The following is a 24,459-nucleotide window of genomic DNA, read 5'->3' on the forward strand; positions in this document are numbered from 1 at the left end:
CTTTGAGTTTAACATAAGTCCTGCACCCCAAAACAGTGCATGAAAGTGCTCTTTGGTTCATACCCTTTCCCTCTGTAGCAGACATGGTAACAGAGAAACCTCATGGTTACGGAGGCACAATACTACTACTGTAGTCAAAGTCTATTGCCTTCATTATCTTGCCACATGCTGGTGAAGTATCAAGCCTGAAACAATGGCTGATAGACTATAATAATATTTTTACCACAAAAATCTTGTTTCTACCAGAACATTTTAGTACAACTTAACCTTTTTTTGTAACTAAAAAAATGCTACAAATATGGCAAATTTTCTACAGCCCTGCATAGTGATGGGGTTTCATGAAAAATGGCCAAGAAAATTCCCCTCTGTGCTTTATTGGAGTGTAACAGGCTCAATTTCATCATTAGTTTGTGTTTCTGAATTATTATACATACAGGCCTGAAAGAGTCCTTGAGAAGTTATGGAGCCCACCCTCTCATTCTTGGCAGGACTGTACCTAAACCATCTAAGATAAATGATTGTTTACTCTATTCTTTAATACACCCAAGGGAAAGAGATTCCTTAAACTTTTCAGAAAACACATTTCAGCATCTAACAAGACTTATATAGCCAGGGAATCCTAATGTTAATCTCATTAAAATTTCTACTCATTCCTCTTCTTATGTAATTGTGAGTACGTTGTACAGCTGGTCATTGAATTGATTTGTTCTTTAGAAAGTTGACAAAGCATCATGGAAAACCAAAAAGAACACTAAACTGCAAGTCAGAAGGCTCCTAGCTTTACCATCAATTAGTCATATTATTTTGCACAAGGTATTATCTGACACCAATTTTATGTTTTGCACGCTGCGAGATGGGACTGGATGAGCTCTATGATATTCTCCAACTATTTTTTAATGTTGCCTCTGTGACTATGACATTTATTTCTTTTGCAAAAATTACAAATAAATATTGAATGCGTATTCACTCTTAGCTTATTATTGTTTCTAAAATATTTCATGAGTGATTTGTTATCTTGAAAACCTTAAGCAGTAACATCTAGTTCTAGAAGTTTCTTAATTGGGCACTTGATGAGAACTTCCCGTTCTAAAAGTTTTTTAAATAAGAAGTTAGTGAGAAATATTTTTCAACGAGAATACATTAATTAGTGATTTATTAGGACTTGAACCAAGTGATGCAAAGTGATGTTAGAATGATTGTGATCCTATATCTTTAAAAGAACCAATAAAGGTATTCAGTATATGTCCTGATAATTGATGAATGTAAACAGTGTGCTGGCCTGTTTTATCCTGAAAGAAAACCCATCTTTCATGTAGTTCCGCCAAATATTATGGGAGAAGAACAGAATGTCTCTGTCCTCATTAGCCAAGCTGTGGAATTACTATGTCAAAGTGATGCTATTCCCCCACCTACTCTTACTTGGTTAAAAGACGGCCACCCCTTGCTGAAGAAACCAGGCCTCAGTATATCTGAAAATAGAAGTGTGTTAAAGGTAAGGATATGGATTCATTTATTTTACCTTATGTTATTAGAAGTTCATGGTTTTGGTATTACCCTATTTAGCGTGACTGTCTTTTATAAGTGTTGGACTAATTTTCTCTTACAAAATTCTAGGAACCCTTTTATTGATGAGGTTTGTAATATTTAAAAATTTTTTTGTTTAGTGAGATTTAAGTATTTGTCATCCATATCCAGAAATGATCCCAAAAAAATGCTTCCAGGAAAATATCATAGAAATAATCCAAGGTGTGCCTCACCTTCAGTCTTCCAGCCAATCACCAAGTGACCATTTTAGGTGCTCTGGACAAAGATGCAAAAAAGTCATGGTGACTCACACCTGTGATCCCAAAATTTTGGGAGGCCAAGGTGGGCGGACCACTTGAGGTCAGGAGTTCGAGACCAGCCCAGCCAACATGGTGAAACCCTGTCTCTACTAAAAACACAAAAATTAGCCTGACGTGGTGACATGCACCGGTAATCCCAGCTACTTGGGAGACTGAGGAAAGAGAACTGCCTGAACCCGGGAGGTGGAGGTTGCAGTAAGCCAAGATCACACCACTGCACTCCAGCCTGGGTGACAGAGCAAGACTGTCTCAAACAACAAAAAAAAAAATGCAAAAGAGCATGACACTCTTCATGTCCTTGATGTCTTCCAGTCTCATGTAAATACATAACAAATTAACAATTTAGTTGAAAAATGCAATGAGTACTGTAAGTCTGAGTCAATTACCAACTGGATGGTACAGATAACACATTTTAGGGGGTGGCAAAAGGTGAGGCTCTGGTTGCCAGGATTAGTGTTGAAAGACTAGTGTTTTAACGGTAGATGAGATAAAAAGCAAGGGAAGCAAGTCAGCTAGTTTGGCTGGAACAGATAATTTAACAAAGTGAATGTTTGGAAATAATGTTGAAAAGGTTGATTTGAATGAAATACAGTGTGACATTGAAAGTCATCCTAAGGAATTCAGATTCAGGAGGACAGAAGACCACCGAATGTTTATAACACTCTCATAATAACCCAACAGAGAAATCAAAAGATCAGGTAAGTAATCTGCCCACAGTTACTGAAAGACAGAAATTGGATTAGAACACCCAGACTATGGCTTCAGAACCCATGCTACTAACCACCACATAGCCTCTTGCTAAAGGAATGTTTATTACTGATAAACAATGAGAGTCTTGAGAAATAGATGACGGGCAGTAAGCTGGGCAGCTTACCCAAGGAAGACAGAAGCATGGGTGTGAGTGAAAGGGAGCATGAAGGAGTATGTTACGGGCAAAGGATGGAGATCTTAGGAATTATGATTCTATAATAATGGAGCTGGGTGAGAAAGAAAAGACCAGAATCACTGCTGAATGAAAGAGGGATGAGCTAATTGAACTACACATGAAAAAAGAAGAAGAAGAAAAGGCATTGCCTATTCTCAGGGGCAGAGCCCAGCATTCTAGAAAGCATCTGGTAAAGTTCTCAAACCTTAACTCTGACCAAATGACAGAGGGATACAATTGCATGAATGCAAATCTCAGTGAGTACAGAAGTTCGTCACGTTGAGGGGTTTAGGGAGAAGATCAGAGGAATGAAAACTTTTATGGAACACAATCCTAATTAGTCAGTTAAAAGTATCTTACCTATGTACTACCATTCACACACATCTCTAACAAAATCAAGTAATAGAATCTTACCATTTTGTTTTGCCTGGTACACACTAGGTGCTCAATAAATATTAATCCCTCCTCTCTATTATTCCCTCCCCAACTCTTTCTATGAGACATGCAGGCCTGTGCATACTGACTTTAAGAACTTGGAACCCTAGATCTGAGTGAGCCTGCCACGAATTTGTGACTCTGAGCAAAGATCTTTTAATTGATTGAGTTTCCTTATCTGTAAAATGAGAAGGTTGGATTTTATGTCCTCTTTCAAGCCTAATATTCTTTGGTTCTCCATGTGTGCTTTTAGCTAATTCCAGCTCTATTGTTCACACCAATTGATTAATAAGTGTTTATTGACTGGCTTCTGTGTACCCCTGCTAAGCCAAGTGCTTCAAATGATCACTCTAACTTCAGTGATCATTGAATGTTTTAGAAATTATTGATTGCAAACTTAGTTGGCAATAAGTCCCATACTGCTTGTTATATCTTTTGTATTATCTTGTGTTATTACTTAAATATTATTTATTAAATTCTTTTTTATGTTCACATCCTTTATATTCTCAACTGGATTGCAAACTTAAATCAGAAACCATATGTGACATTATATCTCTTTATATCTCCTACCTACACTACCTAGCACAAGGGTTGTAATAACTGCAGATGGTCAATGGATGAATCAGCATTGATGCAAGTTGTACATAAATACATGAAAAATATTTACTGATACTAATTCATCTGCCAAGCACCAAACTGGGTAGTAGAAGAATGAGGCTAATGTAATATAATACTTAGCTTAAAGAAGCTTACAAACCTAGCATGGGAGAAAGATAAATGTAATATTATTGGTCTCAAGAATAAGGCTGTTATTTTACTGGACAGTTTCCTAGATGTATAAGGATTTCATATTTTAAAGTCTTAAATGACTTTATCAGAAATTGTACCTTTTCGTTTTTTCTGAATTGTATTTAAAAGACTGTTCTAGACCCTCAACCCCTAATATAAACCAGATTAAAATAAGGTATGGCATAGATGAAAATGGTTGAATCTTGTTGTGTTGAAACTGGGTGATGGGTATATAGCCATTTATATTGCTATTTTGTCTATTTTTTATATGTATGTGAATCTTCAGAATAAAAATAAGAAATAGATCACAAATAGTATTAATTAAAAAACCCCAAGTGAAATAGAAAGTGTGATTTCAAAGGATGATTTTGTTTTCAGATTGAAGATGCTCAGGTTCAAGACACTGGTCGTTACACTTGTGAAGCAACAAATGTTGCTGGAAAAACTGAAAAAAACTACAATGTCAACATTTGGGGTAAGTGTAATCAGCTCTTGAAAGCAAATAATGCAGCTGTGGTTTTTTGTGTCACTTAAAATGACATTCATCCATGTAACTAAAACTGATTATAATAGGTAGATGAACAACAATTAGTACATTTACATGGTGCTGAACTGTCCTGGGTATCAGTTCATATAACTACTTCGAGAGTAACTCTAGATGAACTTTCTTGTAACTTAGATGTTGAAGGATTCTCCTCATCTGCCTGAGTAGTAATGTGCCCTTTGTCTTCCACAGCCAGCATCTCGTAATGATTGGGCCTTCTCTAGTAACTACTGGTGGGTTCGTCAATGGAAAGAAAATAAGCCAAAAGGCCAAATTATATATGTGAACTGTGTGTGTGTATGTGAGAGAAAGAACATGGGCGCTTGCGTGGTGGGAGATAGGATTACTATGATAATCAGGGAGAAAAGCTATTCTAAGTTGAAATTTTACCATTTGTTACTAATTAAGGTAATTCTCATACATAGTCACAACTTGAGTCTCAGCTGTGGCTATCAGCTAAAAAGCATTCCCATTTCCAGTATACTCACCTGTATTTCACATACTTTAAAAAACTCATTTATAACTTATTCACTCGTGTGGTGGGAGATGGGATTACTATAATAACCAGGGAGAAAAGTTATTCTCAGTTGAAATTTTACCATTTGTTACTAATTAAGATAATTCTTATAGTCACAACTTTTGCCTCAGCTGTGGCTATCAGCTAAAAAGCATTCCTATTTCCAGTACATTCACCTGTAATTTACATACTTTAAAAAACTTATAACTTAATAAGCCCTCTTCATTTTGATTGTATTTGTTTAAACTTTTTAATTATTGAGATTATAAGCTGAATTTACCTATGATTTATAGTTTATTCACATATTTTTAAATAAAAATAAAACTAGATGAAATAACTTTGTTCCAATGGAGAACAAATACTTTTTAAAATTTTGAAAGCATGCACTGATGTAGAAAATGACTTATAAATAAATGAGTATCATCTTTTAAAAATCCTTCAGGCAGGTTATGAGAAATGCTATTATACACCCTGTAAAAATTTACTATTAAATAGTAAAAGTTACTATATGGTAAATTTATATTCATTACATACTACTTATATGTAATTAACTTCTGTTCCTGCCTCTTTTCACCCATTTTCCCTCTCCACTTTCCCTTCCCTTCTGTCCTCATTTCTTTCAGATGGGAAAAATATTTATTATTTATATCTAGTTCATTTATTTAATAATTTATTTAATATTTATATCTAGTTCCCAATATGGACAAGACACTAGGCTAAGTGTTATCAAGTAAAGATGAGAAAAAAAAGAGAGAAAAAAGAAAAATTAGGAGTGATGATCAATTAGAAACTGAGGTGAAGAATTCCTTTTTCATATGCAATATTTGAGGTACCTGTGGACTATGTGAAGCTGTCCTCCCTGCAACCAGAAATAGAAACTTATCATTTAGGTGAAATAAGAGTTAAAAACATAAGGTTGCAATGAAATCACTTGGAGAAGGTAAAAGGAATGTATACAGAAGAGTACGCGATAGGATGGCTCTCAGGTGTACCATATAAGAAGAGAGCTAGTAAAAGAGACTCTAGATAAGAAACTGAGAAGGAAGAGCCTAAGAGGTCAGAGGAAAACCCAGTAAAAAAAAATGTGCCATGGAAACTAACGACAGTGTTGTTCTCAGAAGAAAACAATGAGTAAGTTTGATATGGATGAATGGATGGGTGAATGAGTAATATTACATATTGCAGAAAAGTCAAATTAGTCATAAACTAAAAAACATACTTTACAAATATGCAGACCAGTACCTCTTAAAGAAAAGCAGTGTAATAGTGGAAAGCAGAATGCAGTAGATATAAGAATGAATGATAAGGGAAAAAGTTGAGACATCAAAGATAGATTCACTTAAAAAATACTTACATTATGCTTCCATCTTCTAGGCGCTATGCCATGTGTGGACATAGAGCAATTAGTGAGAAAGACAATGATGTTGTTCTCACGGAACTTATAGTTGGCTGGTGGAGAAATATCTTTAAATAGTCAAAATTAAAATTAAACCTCCTAAGAGCTATCATAGGTGGTTATGTAGAAAAGCATATGAGACACGTTTAACTGAGCCCTTAAGGATGAATAGGCATTAACTCTGTGAAGAGGGTAAAAGCAATGCAAAGCCCTGGAGAACACTGTCTGTATTCAATGAGCTTAATATCATTCATTCTGGAGCCTAGTGTGATGCAAGGAGAGAGAGGAGATGGTAGATAAAAAGGTAAAAATAGGCATATTGAAGAAGGCCTCTTAAATCAATTTAAAAAGTATAGATTTGATTCTAAAGGTGATAGAATAAACTAAAGGGATTTAAAGAAGGACCGGATGCTCAGGTCTGTATTTTAGAAGAAAGCAGACATATTTAATAAGTTGAATCAACATGATTAAGTTGATTAGATTAAGAAGTGTGGAAACAAGAAGGGTAAAGGAGGGATGTCTGTGTCTTTCCCTCAGAGAAGGAACAAAGAGGGTTGAGTTCAGTTTTGGACAAGTCAAGTTTGACAATGCTTCTAAGGCAACCAACTTGAGATGTTAAGTAGTTAGTTGGATATTAAAGTCTAGACCTCAGAGAGGGTCTCCATTACAGATATAGCTTTTCAAGTATTTGTATTAATGGAAGCCATGGGGGTAGAGAAGGGTAGAGTTTAGAATGGAGATCATAAATTTATAGTAGTGGCAATCTATGTAATTGTGTCATTTTCTTCTGGAACTTTCAGTTTGTGGTATCAGTGACAAACAGAGTAAACTGTAGGACTCATCCAGAGTAAGAGTATTGACAAATAAGAAGGCAAAAGGTATAAGGTAGTTGAGAATATTGACAAATATTGATTATGAAATCTAAGCTGAGTAGAGAAGTCGGTAAACAGAAGAATAGGCAGCTGGATAGGGGGACTTCTGAGAAGTGAAAGCACTTGAGATTCAGTTAAGTCAATGGGAATTGACTTGAGAATTGGGAATAATTAAGTGAGAGCAAAAAGAACAGAGAAGTTGTCAGAGGCCTAAACTTATAAACTTACAGGAGAAATGTTCTAGATGATGGGAAGGCCTATGGTATGGCTTCTGATGGAAAATGGGATGGGTAGATCAATAACTGAGTAGACAGAGTATTTAGACTGGTTATACATGTGGATGCTGGGTTCATACAGAATGATGGCAGGGCTTAGTATGAAAAGTGTAAGAACACATATCAAACTCTTCAGTGAATAAAGGAAGAATGACAGGTTTACAGATGGTAAAAAGAGAGAGAGAGAGAGAGAGAAATAAATTGGTTATATGAGCCTCAAAGGAATAGAGGCTTTTACATGGGATGGTTGAACAATGACTGGAAGCCACACTGGGGGTAAAGGAGGATTCTCCCACTCCTCAACTCTCAGGATCTTGGAAGAACAAGCCGTCTACCAGCTGACAGTCCTGCAGCCAAGGAAGTGTCCTTAAGGAGAGTTCAGCCAGCATCTGCAGACTCCAGCGCCTTTGAGAAAATCATGGGTAGTCAGTATTCACTTTGAAGGTTCCAGAGAGAAGCTGTAGGCCAGTAGAGAAGCAGACTGTGCAATCTGAAATATGCAGTATGTCCTTTGTTTAGATGAAACCCCTTGCCTCTGTTCTTTAGTATATGTTGTATGCCTTATGTTTCCAGTTCTGTTCACTATTTGAGATATCAAAGCTAGCTAGGCAACAGTGACTGGGCTAAGTTTAAACTTGGTAGGTACTTTAGCTTTTTGATGCAAGGTGTCTAAATATCTTGCATCAAATATACATTTTTCTAATAGCTATATGAGGTAATATATTTTGTAAGTTATAATAAAGTAGCTTCTTTTTATGCCATTCTGAATATTTTGAAAAATTTATATCTGTTTACATGGGAAGTCTGCTATTAGCTATTTATGCTACATCTTACAGGTGACTTTTAATTTGATGTTGATGTCAACCTCATATGACAATTTCTTCCTTATGTCATTTGAGTAGAAGCCTTTTATCTTACATGTAAACTGTTATGAGAATTCTATATGAAATGAGTGGAAAAATCATATTTTTATTTTTTTCTAGTCCCCCCAAATATTGGTGGTTCTGATGAACTTACTCAACTTACAGTCATTGAAGGGAATCTCATTAGTCTGTTGTGTGAATCAAGTGGTATTCCACCCCCAAATCTCATCTGGAAGAAGAAAGGTCAGTTTTCATCCTTGAAATTTATAAAATTAAAGAAAATATAAGATGGATATTGATTTCGTTTAATAAATGTGTTAGATTATAAACAAATTTTCCTGGGGTTTGCATACTAAATGCTAGACAGCAAAATTGCTTTATATTAAATGTGCAACATGTGATACTTCTACACTTCCCAGCTGAAATTTTTTATTTTTAAGACTCTTAACTCCTCCCTGGAAAAAAATAATTTTCTGCATTAATTGATTATTTTTTACTCAAATACATTATAGGGCAGCTATAAACATCGAGAATCCGTCATTCAGAAACTATATTTTCTTCTTTAAAATGAGTTTTAAACTTCCTGGGTGATTGGTTCAGTCATACCCCAAACCTCAGCATCACACAATAGATCTACGTAATAAACCTGCACTTGTGCCTCCTGAATATAAAATAAAAGTTGATATTAAAAAGTAACATTTTTCTGTTTGTGACAGTTTTCAATGTACATTAAGACTGAATTCTGCGTTTGACCAGATTTTCAATTTATTTATCAACAACTCCTTAAGCCCACTAAGTGGCAGAAAAATCATTTAAATTTTCAGTTCATTTAAATATTACTGCTCCTTCATTTTACACACTAGGGCAGGATTATTTTACAGTGTCATTTGCCTTTTATATACTTGAACTGAATAAACAAATGTCATACTTGGCAATGTATACAAAATGCTTTACATTTCTGCCTCATATTCTGCCATTTGGACTTCTTTGTAGGCTCTCCAGTGCTGACTGATTCCATGGGGCGAGTTAGAATTTTATCTGGGGGCAGGCAATTACAAATTTCAATTGCTGAAAAGTCTGATGCAGCACTCTATTCATGTGTGGCGTCGAATGTTGCTGGGACTGCAAAGAAAGAATACAATCTGCAAGTTTACAGTAAGTTGTTGATTAGCCAGGCTTTGGCAAAATGTTCTCTTAAATCTTTTCATCCTTCTCATTTACTTTTAAAAATATCTTTAATGTTCATTCAAAATGGTATGGTTGTAACTATCATATGACACACACATTTAAATTGTGCTGACATAACTGGAGAGCAATTACTTCCTTCTGGCTGTTATTCGGCATTACAGCTGTCCACTCTGCATTAGCTCACCAATGACAGACACATCAATGTGGCTGTAATTTTGTTGGGGACAGATAGTGGACATGTGGAGGGGGAAGGGGGAGCATTTTAACATAGGGGATATTTACAATATGTAAAAACATTTTATTTTAAAGAATATTTTACTCGTATAAGATCTTAGAGTGCTTAAGATAGTTATATACTCATTTAATCTTCACATGAGCTGTTATATAAGACAAAACTGTCGCCTCCATTTTGTGTATGTGGAAATTTAAGCTCCAAGAGGTTTTGTTGGTTGAACAAGGTCGCGTGGCTTGTGTGTGGTAGGACTGGCACTAGGACATTGGATTACTGACACTGGCCTACTTTTCTTCCCACACACATATGTATTAGAATTGATCTAATTTTTGTTCCTAGAATCAGTGACACGTGAATTCAGCTTCAAGTAACAGAATAACTGGTTGTCAGTGGCTTAACCAAGTAAAAGTTTGTGTTCTCACATAATGAGAAAGCAGAGGTTAGCATTGGTCACTGGAGCTGGTCAGCAGCTTAATTGTATCAGCATAGGAGCTCTGGCATTCTACTGGTCCCTCCTTCATGGTCTCAAGATGGTAGCTGTTATTGTGGTATCAATTCCACATGGAAGGCAAGAGTAAGGGAAAGGGCTGGTATCTTTCCCTTTTATTAGGAGAGCAAAAAATTTTCCCCAAAATCCCCAGCAGACCTCTGTGTAGGTTTTATACACCTAAATTCATTCATGTGGTTACCCCAGTTTTCCAACAAGACTGAGAAACCATCTCAGTTTTTCCAACTCATATTGTAAAAGGGAGAAGGGATAAAGGAGTTAGTAACAGACATTGGGTTGTAAGCTAGGCTACTATATCTATTTTAAATAAGTATTAGGAAGACTTACGTAAGGCAGGGCTACAAGTGATAAGTTCAAATATTTGTATAGCTTCTCAAAAGTGGGAAGTTAGTGAACACAGCAATCTTTACTTACTGTGTCAATAGCTTCATTTTAGGTATGAACCCACTTAACACATTGGAGAAGAATTCCGCCTCTCAGCATAACATCATGTCTGTTAGTCCTGGGTCTTTTCTTTAGTTATTTATATTTTAACATAAAAATATATTTAAGTTTGGCTGATGAAAATTCCTATGTAAGACTTGAAGCAAACATTTCCTCTTTTGTTTCTTTTTATCTTCCTCCAACCCTCAGTTAGACCAACCATAACCAACAGTGGCAGCCACCCTACTGAAATTATTGTGACCCGAGGGAAGAGTATCTCCTTGGAGTGTGAGGTGCAGGGTATTCCACCACCAACAGTGACCTGGATGAAAGATGGCCACCCCTTGATCAAGGCAAAGGGAGTAGAAATACTGGATGAAGGTCACATCCTTCAGCTGAAGAACATTCATGTATCTGACACAGGCCGTTATGTGTGTGTTGCTGTGAATGTAGCAGGAATGACTGACAAAAAATATGACTTAAGTGTCCATGGTAAGTAGAAAGAGGCTCAATATGTCCATTCACTGGCTAACGTAATCTAGCATCCTGGATGGGAGATATAGGCCTCAAGTACTGAAAGTCATTTATTTATAACCCATCATTTTAAACATATATACCTTTTCCCCAGGTCAGTCTCATCATTTATCCTTCTATGCCTGACCTCACATTATTTACCTTGCTGAAATAAGCGCATATTAGATATTCTTTAAGGAAAGCACACAGTAAAGTAGAAAATTGTTGTCTTCAAATGCTTTTGGTCCAATGCTATCCCAAGTAAAATCTGTTTTTTATGTTTTCCAAATTTGCTGACTTAACTGGGCTTGTATAAACGTAAGCTCCTTAGAATTTACTGACTCACCATCAGTTGAGCATGAGTTATACTGAAGTCAGCTTTAATATTCTAATTCTAATTAATAAGTCATAAATGTCAATAAGAATAGACCAAACATACACATACACAGGGACAATGACTTAGATGTGTACAATTTGAACTATAATTTTTATAGCTATAGGAACAATGGTAAATTTAATGGACACAAATCTTGTAATTTCAACTCAGTTAAGACATGCATGAAGCTCAGTGTTAATATCTTGCAGTTTGCAGCCAACGTGTGTGCCAAAGCTATAGGAATCACAACACAAAAGGGAAGATGAATTAATCTTAAGTTCTTTTTGTTGGATTACTCTTAATTTTTAGAATTAGATGATTGATTTTTTAGGAAATCTTTTCCTATAAGTAGGTTATGAATCCATATTACAAATTTGCAAGAAAAGATGAGTGATTCATATTCACAGTAGCAAAGACATAGAATCAGCCTAGGTGCTGATTAATAAATGGTGGATTGGATAAAGAAAATGTGGTACATATGCACCATGGAATACTACACAGCCAAAACTCATGTCCTTTGCAGCAACATGAATGCAGTTGGAGACCATAATCATAAGTGAATTAATGCAGGAATGGAAAATCAGATGCCTCATGTTCTCACTTATAAGTGGGAACTAAACATTGGGTACTCAAAGACATAAAGATGGCAACAGTAGACACTGGGGACTACTGAAGGGGAAGGAGAAAAGGAGGCAGGAGTTCAAAAACTAACTCTTGGGTTCTATGCTTACCACCTACGTGACAGGATCAATCATACCCCAAGCCTCAGCATCACAGAATATACCCATGTAACAAACCTGCACATGAATCCCCTTAATCTAAAATGAAAGTTGAAATTGCAATTAAAAAAAAGGGGGCGAGTGACTCATACAACATCACTCACCACTATTGGAATAACAATATGAAAATAATTTACTGCTAAGATTGAGGAAGAAGTGACATTTTTACTTCCAGGAATGTCACACACACACACACACACACACACACACACACACAGCTGGTTGTTGTGATTGCTTATTTTGCTTACTATTAATCAGAAAATGGAAGTCTTATTAACATACACTGTTTAGGATTTGATGTTTGATATACAACATCAGGTATATCAAATGTATATCAGGCAACTAATATTTCCATTCCCTGTTTGTTTTATTTTGTCTTACAGCTCCTCCAAGCATCATAGGAAACCACAGGTCACCTGAAAATATTAGTGTGGTAGAAAAGAACTCAGTATCTTTGACTTGTGAAGCTTCTGGAATTCCCCTGCCTTCCATAACCTGGTTCAAAGATGGGTGGCCTGTCAGCCTTAGCAATTCTGTGAGGATTCTTTCAGGTATTAGAAATTCTGGTAGCCTTATAATCTTGTTAGCTTCATACGGCTACAATTTCTCCTTAATTTCAAATTGCTCAGTGTTTTTATTGTTTTATTTTTTAACCTACTGCTTACTGTAATATTCACTAATCATATTAAGAAAAAATATTTAAAAGGATGTAAGAAACTATATGAAAATGAGAAATCTCCAAATATCTCTAGACCCCTTTAAAAAACAAATCTTGGCACTCGCTGATTACGACAGTCATGGAGATGTCAAAGCATTCATGCTACAGTGAGCATCCACCAATTTGAAAATAATTATAGGAAGTGCTGAAATTGAATTCAAATTCTACAGTGAATCCTAGTATATAAAATACTTCTATAACCAAATATTAATATTTCAATGTATTCATGACTAATCTCAATGATGTTTACATTTCTAAAATGGGTAGTTTCCTGTGAGCTAAGACTTTATTTTCAAGAGATATTGATCATATTCCTCATATAATTTTGTGGGAAAATCTAAATAGCTTGTCATTTGTGGATCAATATAAGCGTAGAGAGAGGCAAGCTGCAGAAATCTGCACTTGGCCCATTTTATTAATGACTTGGTTACAGACTAAGATAATCTTGCCAAGTTTTTGGTTAATAAAAAGCTTAGATACTTAGAAAAATACCTAATGTGTGATTGAAGGCATCAAAATTCAAACACACCTCATGCTGGAGCTTTTGGGTTAAAGCTAACAAGATGAAGGTTAAGTAAGGCTCATGATGGCCCTCTATATAATTATCTGATTATGCTAATTTATGATCTCTTTGCACTTACGGTCAAACCAGTTATGAACTTATGGTGAAGTATAGCTTCAGAACTCTTAATATGAAAAGATGTCTGAATTGTGTTAGTTTCTCAGTATGCATTAATACAATGCGATTATCAAGACAACAAATGTAATATTTTGCCACATCAATAAACTATATTTTCTCCAATAAGAAAAGCAAGAGATCGTGTGCACTATAAACTTAGCAGAACTTATTAGAAAGACAAGAAGAAAGGCTTAATGACAGTATTTGCAAAGGAAAATAACTATGATGGGAAATTATCACATAATGATTAATATGTCTGTATTTAACCTGGAAAAATAAATCTTGTGGTGTATTTGGTATCTAATCCAAAGTAAATTTAAATATTTGAAGAGCCATGGTGTAGAAAGGATTATGTTGTTTTTTTCTAGTTCCAGAGGTTAAAAGTAATGTCAGTATATGGAAGATTCTAGGGATAGATTTGTGTCTGAATATAAACAACTTAAAAGATTATTTAGCTTGCTTAAAATCAAGATGAGCTACTTTAAGTGGCAGTAAGCTCCCTTCACCTAAATGTGCTCAAAGTTTACATTACCACTACTGAAGGCATATTCAGAAAAGATTTTTTCCTAGTGCTGGAATTAGGTCTAAAAAACCTAAGTTCCCCCTGTTTCTTCCCGATCTTGGTTTATAACTGATAGGAGCTTGAGGAAGAATGTACATTACCATTAACCACATTTATTGTCTATAATACTCACTATATTTATGACCTCAGACTAGTTACTTAACTTTGCTAACTTCAGTTTGATAACTTGTAAAGCGATAATAATAGTATTTGCCTCAGGGTTTTTGTAAGGATGAAATGAGATACCTAAAACAGTTAACACAGCACTTGCTTCTATGGTAAGCATCCAATACCTATTTCTTGTTATTGTCATAGACAACCTGGTAAAAGGTTTGTGGTCTCCCTGTCCTGGGAAACTTTCCTATGTCCTTACTATGATGTTTTCACTTTGACAGGACTCTCAGTCTCTGTTGATCTTAAGAAATACATACTAATGACAAAGATTGTATTAAAATGTGGTTACCAAAGCCTAAACACATTATCTTCTTGGCTTGAAATTATATTCATCTTTCTGGCTTTTTAAAAAATGTTCACTTGCTAAGGAAGTAGGGACTCTTATTAAATATAGTAAGTGCAGCAGAGCTCCTGGAAGTGAAAAAGGCAAGCTAAAGTGATGTGCTCTAGCTTGTTACAAATTTACAGAAGTGGTGTTTTGGTTTTATTTATCTTTGTTGTGCTTGACTAGCAGCTGGAGATCCCTGAGTGAACACATGATAAGTATTTCACCTTGTGGTGCTGCCAAAGGAGTTATTCAGTTTAACAGTCTGAACATGTTGTGTTGTGCAATAGGTAAATGAGAATCGAATGGCATATGTCTTGCTTGGTCTTCAGTCTCCTGTACATGCCTATTTCATTAATATTAGTCCTCCTGAGAATTTAAGCATAGCTTTTCTAAAAGCAGTACTTTGGTGAAGACCCTATCATTGTTATGAAGTTATCTGCCAGAAACAGATAACTGTTATAAAAATTTAATAGGTACAAGAAACGTCTCCATATAAGTATAATTTACTGTCAGAACCCATTTTTGGTTTTCACTGGATTAAGCGAGAAGTCCATGAAAAAAGAGAAAAGGAGAATCGTGAAACTTATGAGGTTGACGTTTGTAGAGCCAGCAGTGATTCATAAAAGTTGTATTGCTTTAATACCTCTCAACTGGAATCATATTATGATCTCACTAATCTGAAGTGGCAGTGAGTGCTTGAATCCTTCCCTAATTGACATAAGTTTTTAAAGCATTTTTACTTTTTAAGTAAACAAAATTTCTGTTTACTTAAATTCAATTGGGAAAAAAAGGCTAAATTCAGGTAATTAGCTTTGTTTGTCTAAATAAGATACTACTAAGTTCACCTTTCAGTGGGTTTAGGGTGGGAAGGTTGCTTATAGAAAAAGTTCAATGTCAGCTTGTGTTTACATAAACAGAAAACAGATAGAATACCCCTGGGAAACCAGACCCAGGTGAACATTTACATGAAAATTTCATGTTAACCATTATACTGTTTTTAATTCAAATTCAGGGTGCTAAGCAAAAATATACCAGCTAGAAAATTATTACACAATCCAATAAATGACCTACTTTTTTGTTGGACCTTACTCCTCAAATGGTGCCCAGGACTTTGTTCTCTCAGTGTCTCTTAGTTCTCTGCAGGTTTTGTTTCATCTCATTTGTTGGCTCCTCTGCTTTTATCTTTAAATAGAGTTCTCCTCCAAATTACACCCCCAGTATATTAGAGTTTCACTTTCAGTCTACATACATTTCTTGGATGAATATTTCTTCAAACAAAATGTTACATAGATGTTCAAAATACAAAAAGAAGCAAAAGCAGTGTATCACTAGTGCATGAAGTGACCCCATAACATTTTATATAATGTAGGATTCCATGAAGCTTAATTGAAAGCTGGTAGTCTTCATTCTCCTATCTTCCTTATATTAGGTTGGTGCAAAAGTAATTGTGGTTTTTGCCATTGAAAGTAATGGTAATATATTGATGTCACCCAAATCTGGGTGTCTGGGCTGGTTGTCTTTCTGATATTCCCATATTACATGTTCAATGGAAAACTAGGACTCTTTTCCTAACCATCTGATCACAGGTGTCTTTCTAAGCACGAATCAGATCATAAGCCCTGTTTGTTTATACACTCCATAGTCTTTAGTGAGTGCAATAAAATCTAAATTCCTTAGCATAGCATTCATGGGCCCATACAATCTGGCCATACTCCATCTAGCCTCATCTCTTACCATTTTCTCCACCTGCTCTGCTTTTGATACCACTTCTCACACCTACTTTCTACCTCTATCTATCTCTTCATTCATACTCCACTCACAATAGCATCTGTATTAGTCTGTTCTCACACTACTGTAAAGAAATACTCGAGATTGGGTAATTTATAAAGGAGAGAGGTTTAATTGACTTACATTCTGCATGTCTGGGGAGGCCTCAGGAAACTTAAAATTATGGCAGAAGGGGAAGCAGGCACCTTCTTCACAAGGCGGCAGAAGAGAGAGTATGTGAAGGAAGACCTGTCAAACGCTTATGAAACCATCAGATCTTATGGCAACTCACTCACTATGATGAGAACAGCATGTGGGAAACCATTCCCATGATCAGGTCACCTCCACCAGGTCCCTCCCTTGACCTCCCACCAGGTCCCTCACCAGGGGATTATGGGGATTACAATTCGAGATGAGGTTTGGGTGGGGACACAGAGCCAAACTATATCAGCATCTCTCAACTCGTGTTAAAATATACTTATCTTTTAAGATCATATTCAAACATCACCTTCTCTGTGAAACAACATTTCTTGCTTGCTGTCACCTAACATTATATTTATTTTTTTATCTATTGAACTAGAAGATTTTTCTGAACTATTTTGTTTTATAGAAGTTTAAAATGTGATTTTTAAAAAAGCTTAACATAAATTCATTTTAAGGGCCTCTAAAGCATACTGATTAAATTTTTACCGAAATTGAGCATCACTTGGATGGCTTATAAAGTTTCATTTTTCTTTTTAAGTTATCTTAAAAAGATGGTTTGCTTCTGCAGGAGGCAGGATGCTACGGCTGATGCAGACCACAATGGAAGATGCTGGCCAATATACTTGCGTTGTAAGGAATGCAGCTGGTGAAGAAAGAAAAATCTTTGGGCTTTCAGTATTAGGTACTTATATAGTTTGCAATATCTAGAAGAAACTTAAATTGCCTTAAATCCTGGAAGCAGAGTTAAAATTTATTTACCACTTGATCTCATACCTGTGTTATTTAGACCCTGGACTGTGACTCTTGGCAAGAATTCAATATCAGAATTGTTTGGAGGTAATCAGGCAATCGTTTGGGGGAATTAAAATGCCTGTTTTAATTCACAATTGCTCAACAATATTCTGAGAGGCTGAATGACTTGTTTAATGTGAATACATATTAGAGTTATAGTGGAAGAAATAAAAGTCAAATAAATGTTCTTGGTGATTTGTTGACATTTTTATGCAGACTTAATGATTTACATTACAATAAAATTCATTATAATTGGATTTATGACTTTAAAAGTAGACTTGATCAAAATAATATTATGACATTCTAGCAATCAAATAATGAATGTGGATTGGGGGATTTGTTTTGAAGGTTATAGCTTAATAAAACCATACATAAATATCTATAAAATAGCAGCTTTGCTGTTAAGAGCTGTTATTTTGTTGTTGTTGTTGTTTTTTAGTACCACCTCATATTGTGGGTGAAAATACATTGGAAGATGTGAAGGTAAAAGAGAAACAGAGTGTTACGCTGACTTGTGAAGTGACAGGTATGGGCTCAGCTCTCAGACTTTTGGTGCTCCCCCCACTCACTGATAGTCATTGCCTCCACTATATATCTTAAAAATTTTTTATATATTTAGGGGGTACAAGTGCGGTTTTGTTACATGGATATATTGAGTACTGGTGAAGTCTCAGTGATGGTAAACATTACCCAAGTAGTGTACATTTTACTTATTAGGTAATTTCTCATCTCTCAATCCCTCTCCCACCCTCTCACCCTTCCTAGTCCCCAAGGTCTATTATTTCACTCTCTATGTCCATTTGTACACATTACTTAGCTCCCATTTATAAGTTAGAACATACGATATTTGACTTTCTGTTTCTGAGTTATTTCACTTAAGATAAAGGCCTCCGGTTCCATTCATATTGCTGCAAAAGACATGATTTCATTCTTTTTATGGATAGGTAGTATTCCATGGAATGTGTGTGTGTGTGTGTGTGTGTGTGTGTGTGCATATATATATATATATATATATATATATATATATATCACATTTTCATTACCCAACCTCTGTTAATGGACACTTAGGTTGATTCCATATCTTTGCTATTGTGAATAGTGCTCTGGTAAACATACTAATGCAGGTATCTTTTTGTTATGACTTATTTTCCTTTGGGTAGATATTGAGTCCCACTATATATTAATCAGTTGAGGAAAAGTTCAGCTACTATAATTGGCATTTGAAATTAAATTCTAGTCCAGTATAGCTGGTAGAAATGTAGGAGGAAACCTTTCAAATTCTGTGGAGACAAAAAGGAAATACCAAAAAGAAAAGAAGGGAAGAAAGAGGGAGTGGGGAGGGAGAAAGGAAGGGAGGGAGGGAGGGACGGAGAGAGAAGGAAGGAAGGAAGGAAGGAAGGAAGGAAGGAAGGAAGGAAGGAAGGAAGGAAGGAAGGAAGGGAGTCTTTTCCTTCAATTCAATAAATCATTCTCTTTTGAAAAATTATTCTGCTTCTACTTACATGTATGTTTATCTTGCCCTACCTTTTTAAATTTTTGTTTCCTTCCCTGTGTTTGTGCCTTCCTTTTCTTTTCCTTTTTTTCTTAAATTTCATTTCAAAGAAATAGGTTGGAGTTTTGGTGAAAGAATGACGTTATTTTGTAGTGGGGATTTTCCAAGAACAATATTGTTACCTTTTGTTAGCATGTTTGAATATTACAGAGGGAATATAGAGTAGGAAAAATAAAAATTCTAAAACCAGTTTCACCATCTTTACCAGTAAATTGATTTCTTGCATATAATCAAAATAAACACATCTCTAAGAGGATATTTTCAAGGCTGTCTTTTTATTGTAGATGGCCTTGCAGTTTTAAAGTAAGAATGAAAGTAGCCCATAACATTTTATGGAAAGTCAGAGTTTAAAGGAAGATTCAATGAGTTTCTTATTTCATTGTTTGTCTGCCTTATGTGAGCAATAAATTCAAATAAGCAGAGGGGGGAATGTTTCTATTTTAAGAAAGGCAGATATAAACAGTGTGATATATACTATTAACCTGTTAATAATTTTTTTCTAGAAATAATATAGTAATTTACAACAGTTGCATAGACAAGCATTGCCTACATTTTATAAAATCCTCTCTTCAAGCTAGTATATCATCCTAGCCCTCTTTCCTAACATGACTTGCTTTTATGGTTTTAAAATTTTTTTTAAGTATTTGAATAATTTAAAACTTAATATTTAACATAGATCTCATTTGAAAATAAAAATACAGGATCTCTTCCTAGAGGCTGTAAATATTAAAGAATAATTAATATATTTTTATCTCTATTGATCAGTTCAATATTCTTCCATCTATCTATGATAGAATCCTGGTATAGACTCAAAATATCTGCATGTTGAATTAATTAAAGGTTTTGCTTTTTTACAGCTTTTTGTCAAAAATATAAAATCTTTTAGAAAATTTTTCTATGAGGCCAGGCACGGTGGCTCACGCCTGTAATCCCAGCACTTTGGGAGGCCGAGGCAGGTGGATCACAAGGTCAGGAGATCAAGACCATCCTGGCTAACACGGTGAAACCCCGTCTCTACTAAAAATACAAAAAAATTAGCCGGGTGTGGTAGCAAGCACCTGTAGTCCCAGCTACTTGGGAGGCTGAGGCAGGAGAATGGAGTGAACCCGGGAGGTAGAGCTTGCAGTGAGCCGAGATCACACCACTGCACTCCAGCCTGGGTCACAGAGTGAGACTTCATCTCAAAAAAAAAAAAAAAAAAAGTATATGAATACAAAGCTGTTCACGAATAATAGTTTTAATAAAAATGAATGCTGCATTATTTAAAAACTGTACTTTACTATCAAAATACTTAGTTGTAATAGTCTAAAAAATAGTATAAATTTAGTTATTTAGTTAAACATGAAGGTCAATTTAGAATCATTTTACTTATAGATGAACACTAACCTACATTTGAAAATGATTTATAATCTATGCATATTTTTAAAGTCAACATAACCATTATTATTATAAAATAAGTTAGCTTGCATAGTTATTTTTAAATGAATGATTACTGCCGTGTTTTAGACATGGGATATGTAGGAAGACAAATGAGTGAAAACCTCCTCTTTCAAAGTTTATTCATTCTATACATGTAATTATTAGCTGACTCTCAGAAATGGATTTTTACAGGGAATCCAGTGCCAGAAATTACATGGCACAAAGATGGGCAGCCCCTCCAAGAAGATGAAGCCCATCACATTATATCTGGTGGCCGTTTTCTTCAAATTACCAATGTCCAGGTGCCACACACTGGAAGATATACATGTTTGGCTTCCAGTCCAGCTGGCCACAAGAGCAGGAGCTTCAGTCTTAATGTATTTGGTAGGTGTGGGCTTTTCTTCATATCTTAAAGAATCTGACATGACTGTAGGCTAAATTTTCTTTTCTTTTTCTGTTCAAGTAATGTTTCCGTCGTAGAATTTCATCATGTAAGGAGGACCAGTGCTTGTGTACATTTACTATTTTTCCTGAATTAATTTATAAATTAATTTATGACATATGGAATACCTACTATGTTCTAGGCACAGTGTTTTGTGCTAGGGACACAACTCTGAATAAGATAGACTAATCAGTAGTAAAAGATAAAGATATGTTGGTCAAAGAGAAGCAGGTAAAGAGTGATTGGGTCTCAACCTGAGATATTCTATCCTTTTTTTTGTGAGACTTAGCCATTATTGGAAATTGGCCATATTATAGTCTTTGTGGACTAAGAGTGATGAAATACCTGTCTGTTGGTATGTTCAGTTCTGGCTTATGTCTCAGGAAAGACATTAAAATAGATTTTTAACTTGTGCTCACTTTTTGAAATTTCTACCCCCTAAATTTATTGTATTAGATTCCTAATATCATATAATTCTACTAAAATCAACTGACCTATATGTGAGTATGAAAATTTGTATAGTTGTTTGTTTTTATAGTTATTGGTTATACCATTTAAGGAGTACAAAGATACCACCATAGATAGAAACTTCTCATATTGAACACAGCCCTCAAGGAGCTGATAGTCTAATTGAGTAGGGGAGCTATATGTGCAAGAAAAATTACATCAAAATACCAGATACTGTATAAGTGTCAATATTGTATTGTGTGTAAGTGTATAAATTGAAACTTATAAATGTCATAAGTGTATAAGTGTATAAATTGACATACAGTATCTGGTATTATATATATGTTCATTCATTCATTCATTCATTCATTCATTCATTGAAGACTGAGGGATCTAGATCTGAATCAAAGCCCTTTTCCACCAACTTCATAAAGTAGAGGCTATTTAAGTGCATGTGTTTGCAACTTCCAATCTACCCGGCCAAAAGTCAGTGCCTTTACCCTTTCTTTTCTCAGAGGATAACTTATCCTTCTTGTTCAGTTACTCCTTGCACTTACACCCTCGACCCTGTATCTTTCCACCATCTGCCTTGCTTGCAGCTTCACCGTCTACTGTCTCCACCACTTCATATTTTAACCATGCCCAGATATATATACTTGCTGTCCTACTGAAAACAGGCTCTGTCTGACACTACTCTGGCAAGCACTTCCCTTTTTCTAGGTCCAGCAAATATCTTGCAGTCCCAATTTTAATGTTTTGTACATTTTGATCTCTTTTTTCCTTCACAATGCTCTTTCCCAGTTATCCTCACATATCTTTGTTTGCTCCCTTTCTCTGCCCTTTATGGAAGCTTGAGCCACCTCTTAAATACTGGGTTCCCTAGTGTTCTGTCCTTACTTCACTGCTTGTGTTACTCTACATATTCTCTTCAAGTAATACAATTCATTCCCAGATGTTTAATTATCTTCTATACACAAGAAACTTTTAAAAATGTATACCTGTAACCCAGATCTTTCTTGCAAGGTTCAAATTCCTATATAGAATTGCTTGTCGGGCATTTCCACCTGAAATTCCCATAAGCACTTAAAATACAAGATATTCAGAATGGAACAAACTATTTTCCCTTCCTAAATGAGCAAATCTTTCTACATTTTATATTTTTATGTTGCTTCTCTGCAGTTTAGGTTCCCAAGCAAGCAAACTGGAAGTTATATTTGACTTCAGTTTCCTTTAGCCCCCCAGTTTCCATAATCAAGTCCTGTCAGTAATGCCCTAAATCTTTCTTTACTTGCTCCTTCCACTTTATACCTTCCTTTAATGCTCTAGTTCAGTTCCTCGTTATATTTTATAAAACAAATGTACCTGTCTCAGCTATCCTTGCTTCCAATATTGATCCACTTGAGTTCATCCTCCCGATATACCCTGCTTGCCCCTCATTGCTTACAATTTAATACTACCATGCTCCCAACATGTTCCCTCTTACTAGTCTCTGCTTTCACCTGCTAACTACCACTGATCGTTTAAGGCTCACTTTAAATCCTCTTCCTTTAAGAGGCCTTCTCTAATGAGACCCTTCACACTAAACACCTCAAACTGGACTGGATGCTAACTCATTTCCAAAAAACCTCCATTTACCTTGCACCAGCATTCCCATTATTGCCCTTACTACATTGTGGTTTTTTTATGTGTTATGGTTCCTTTTTATGTGTCATCTCCTCCATTACCCTATGAGTTTTTTAAGGGATCACTCTTTTGTGTAAAATAATAATAATAATAATAATTTGTTTTCTGTAACTGCTAGGGAATGAAATTATACAAATACATATAATGGAAATTTAGAAATGCACAAATATACAAATTTCTACATATATTTCTTCAACAAATTTTCATCTTTTTCAGTATCTCCTACAATTGCTGGTGTAGGTAGTGATGGCAACCCTGAAGATGTCACTGTCATCCTTAACAGCCCTACATCTTTGGTCTGTGAAGCTTATTCATATCCTCCAGCTACCATCACCTGGTTTAAGGATGGCACTCCTTTAGAATCTAACCGAAATATTCGTATTCTTCCAGGTAATTCATTTGCTTCAGATGTCCAAGATGCATCTGCGTCATCTACTATTCTAGAAAAGCAGAATCATTGGTTACTTTTTATAAAAACACCAATGTTTTGTTGGTTGTGTTATGTTCTGTGCAGCCTGGTTCCTAATAGGCCACAGGCTGGTCCCAGTCCATGGCTCAGGGATTGGGACCCCTGCTGTAAAGTACTGAAAATTACTTTTTAAAAGATCAGAAGAATACCTAAATTAAAAGGCAAATAAATAAATGCCACAATGTAATTAACTGCTAAAATATATTATAATATGAATGCCAAAAAGGGTAGAAATTCATTCCTGATTAAATATTAACTCTCCTTCAAAGTTTAATTCAAGGTGAGAGAGTTTGTTCCTCTTTACTGCATGGAAATAGATAATGCAAATAAAAAGATAAAGGATTATTTCTGGCTTTAAGAGACTGACAGTCTTATATTGAGAAGAGGTAATATGTGCAAAGAGTTGATTAAGAATATGAATCTGTGAAAAATCATGGATTCTGAATAGTCAGGGGGTATGATAAATAGGGAAAGAGTTTTATAAGAATTCAAATGAAGAAGCTGGGTGCGGTGGCTCACGCCTGTAATCCTAGCACTTTGGGAGGCTGAGGCGGGCAGATCATGAGGTCAGGAGATTGAGACCATCCTGGCTAACACAGTGAAACCCTGTCCCTACTAAAAAAATACAAAAAATTAGCTGGGCGTGGTGGCACATGCCTGTAGTCCCAGCTACTCGGGAGGCTGAGGCAGGAGAATCACTTGAACCTAGGAGGCGGAGGTTGCAGTAAGCCGAGATCGTGCCAC

General features: G+C 35.5%; 1 protein-coding gene across 6 annotated transcripts in view; it reads left to right on the forward strand.

Annotated features, from left to right (window-relative positions):
- HMCN1 (hemicentin 1) overlaps positions 1–24,459 on the forward strand; it is a 456,559-nt gene that overhangs the window by 309,981 nt on the left and 122,119 nt on the right. For all 6 annotated transcript variants that reach the window (NM_031935.3, XM_011510038.4, XM_024450118.2 and 3 more), the window contains 10 exons: positions 1,317–1,492; positions 4,372–4,468; positions 8,581–8,703; positions 9,454–9,615; positions 11,022–11,303; positions 12,863–13,030; positions 17,480–17,593; positions 18,143–18,229; positions 20,867–21,058; positions 23,463–23,636. In NM_031935.3, the coding sequence (NP_114141.2) occupies positions 1,317–1,492; positions 4,372–4,468; positions 8,581–8,703; positions 9,454–9,615; positions 11,022–11,303; positions 12,863–13,030; positions 17,480–17,593; positions 18,143–18,229; positions 20,867–21,058; positions 23,463–23,636 (1,575 nt within the window). The remainder of the gene's footprint in view (positions 1–1,316; positions 1,493–4,371; positions 4,469–8,580; positions 8,704–9,453; positions 9,616–11,021; positions 11,304–12,862; positions 13,031–17,479; positions 17,594–18,142; positions 18,230–20,866; positions 21,059–23,462; positions 23,637–24,459) is intronic.

This window comes from Homo sapiens, chromosome 1 (assembly GCF_000001405.40).
Source record: "Homo sapiens chromosome 1, GRCh38.p14 Primary Assembly".
In the NCBI taxonomy this organism is placed as follows: domain Eukaryota; kingdom Metazoa; phylum Chordata; class Mammalia; order Primates; family Hominidae; genus Homo; species Homo sapiens.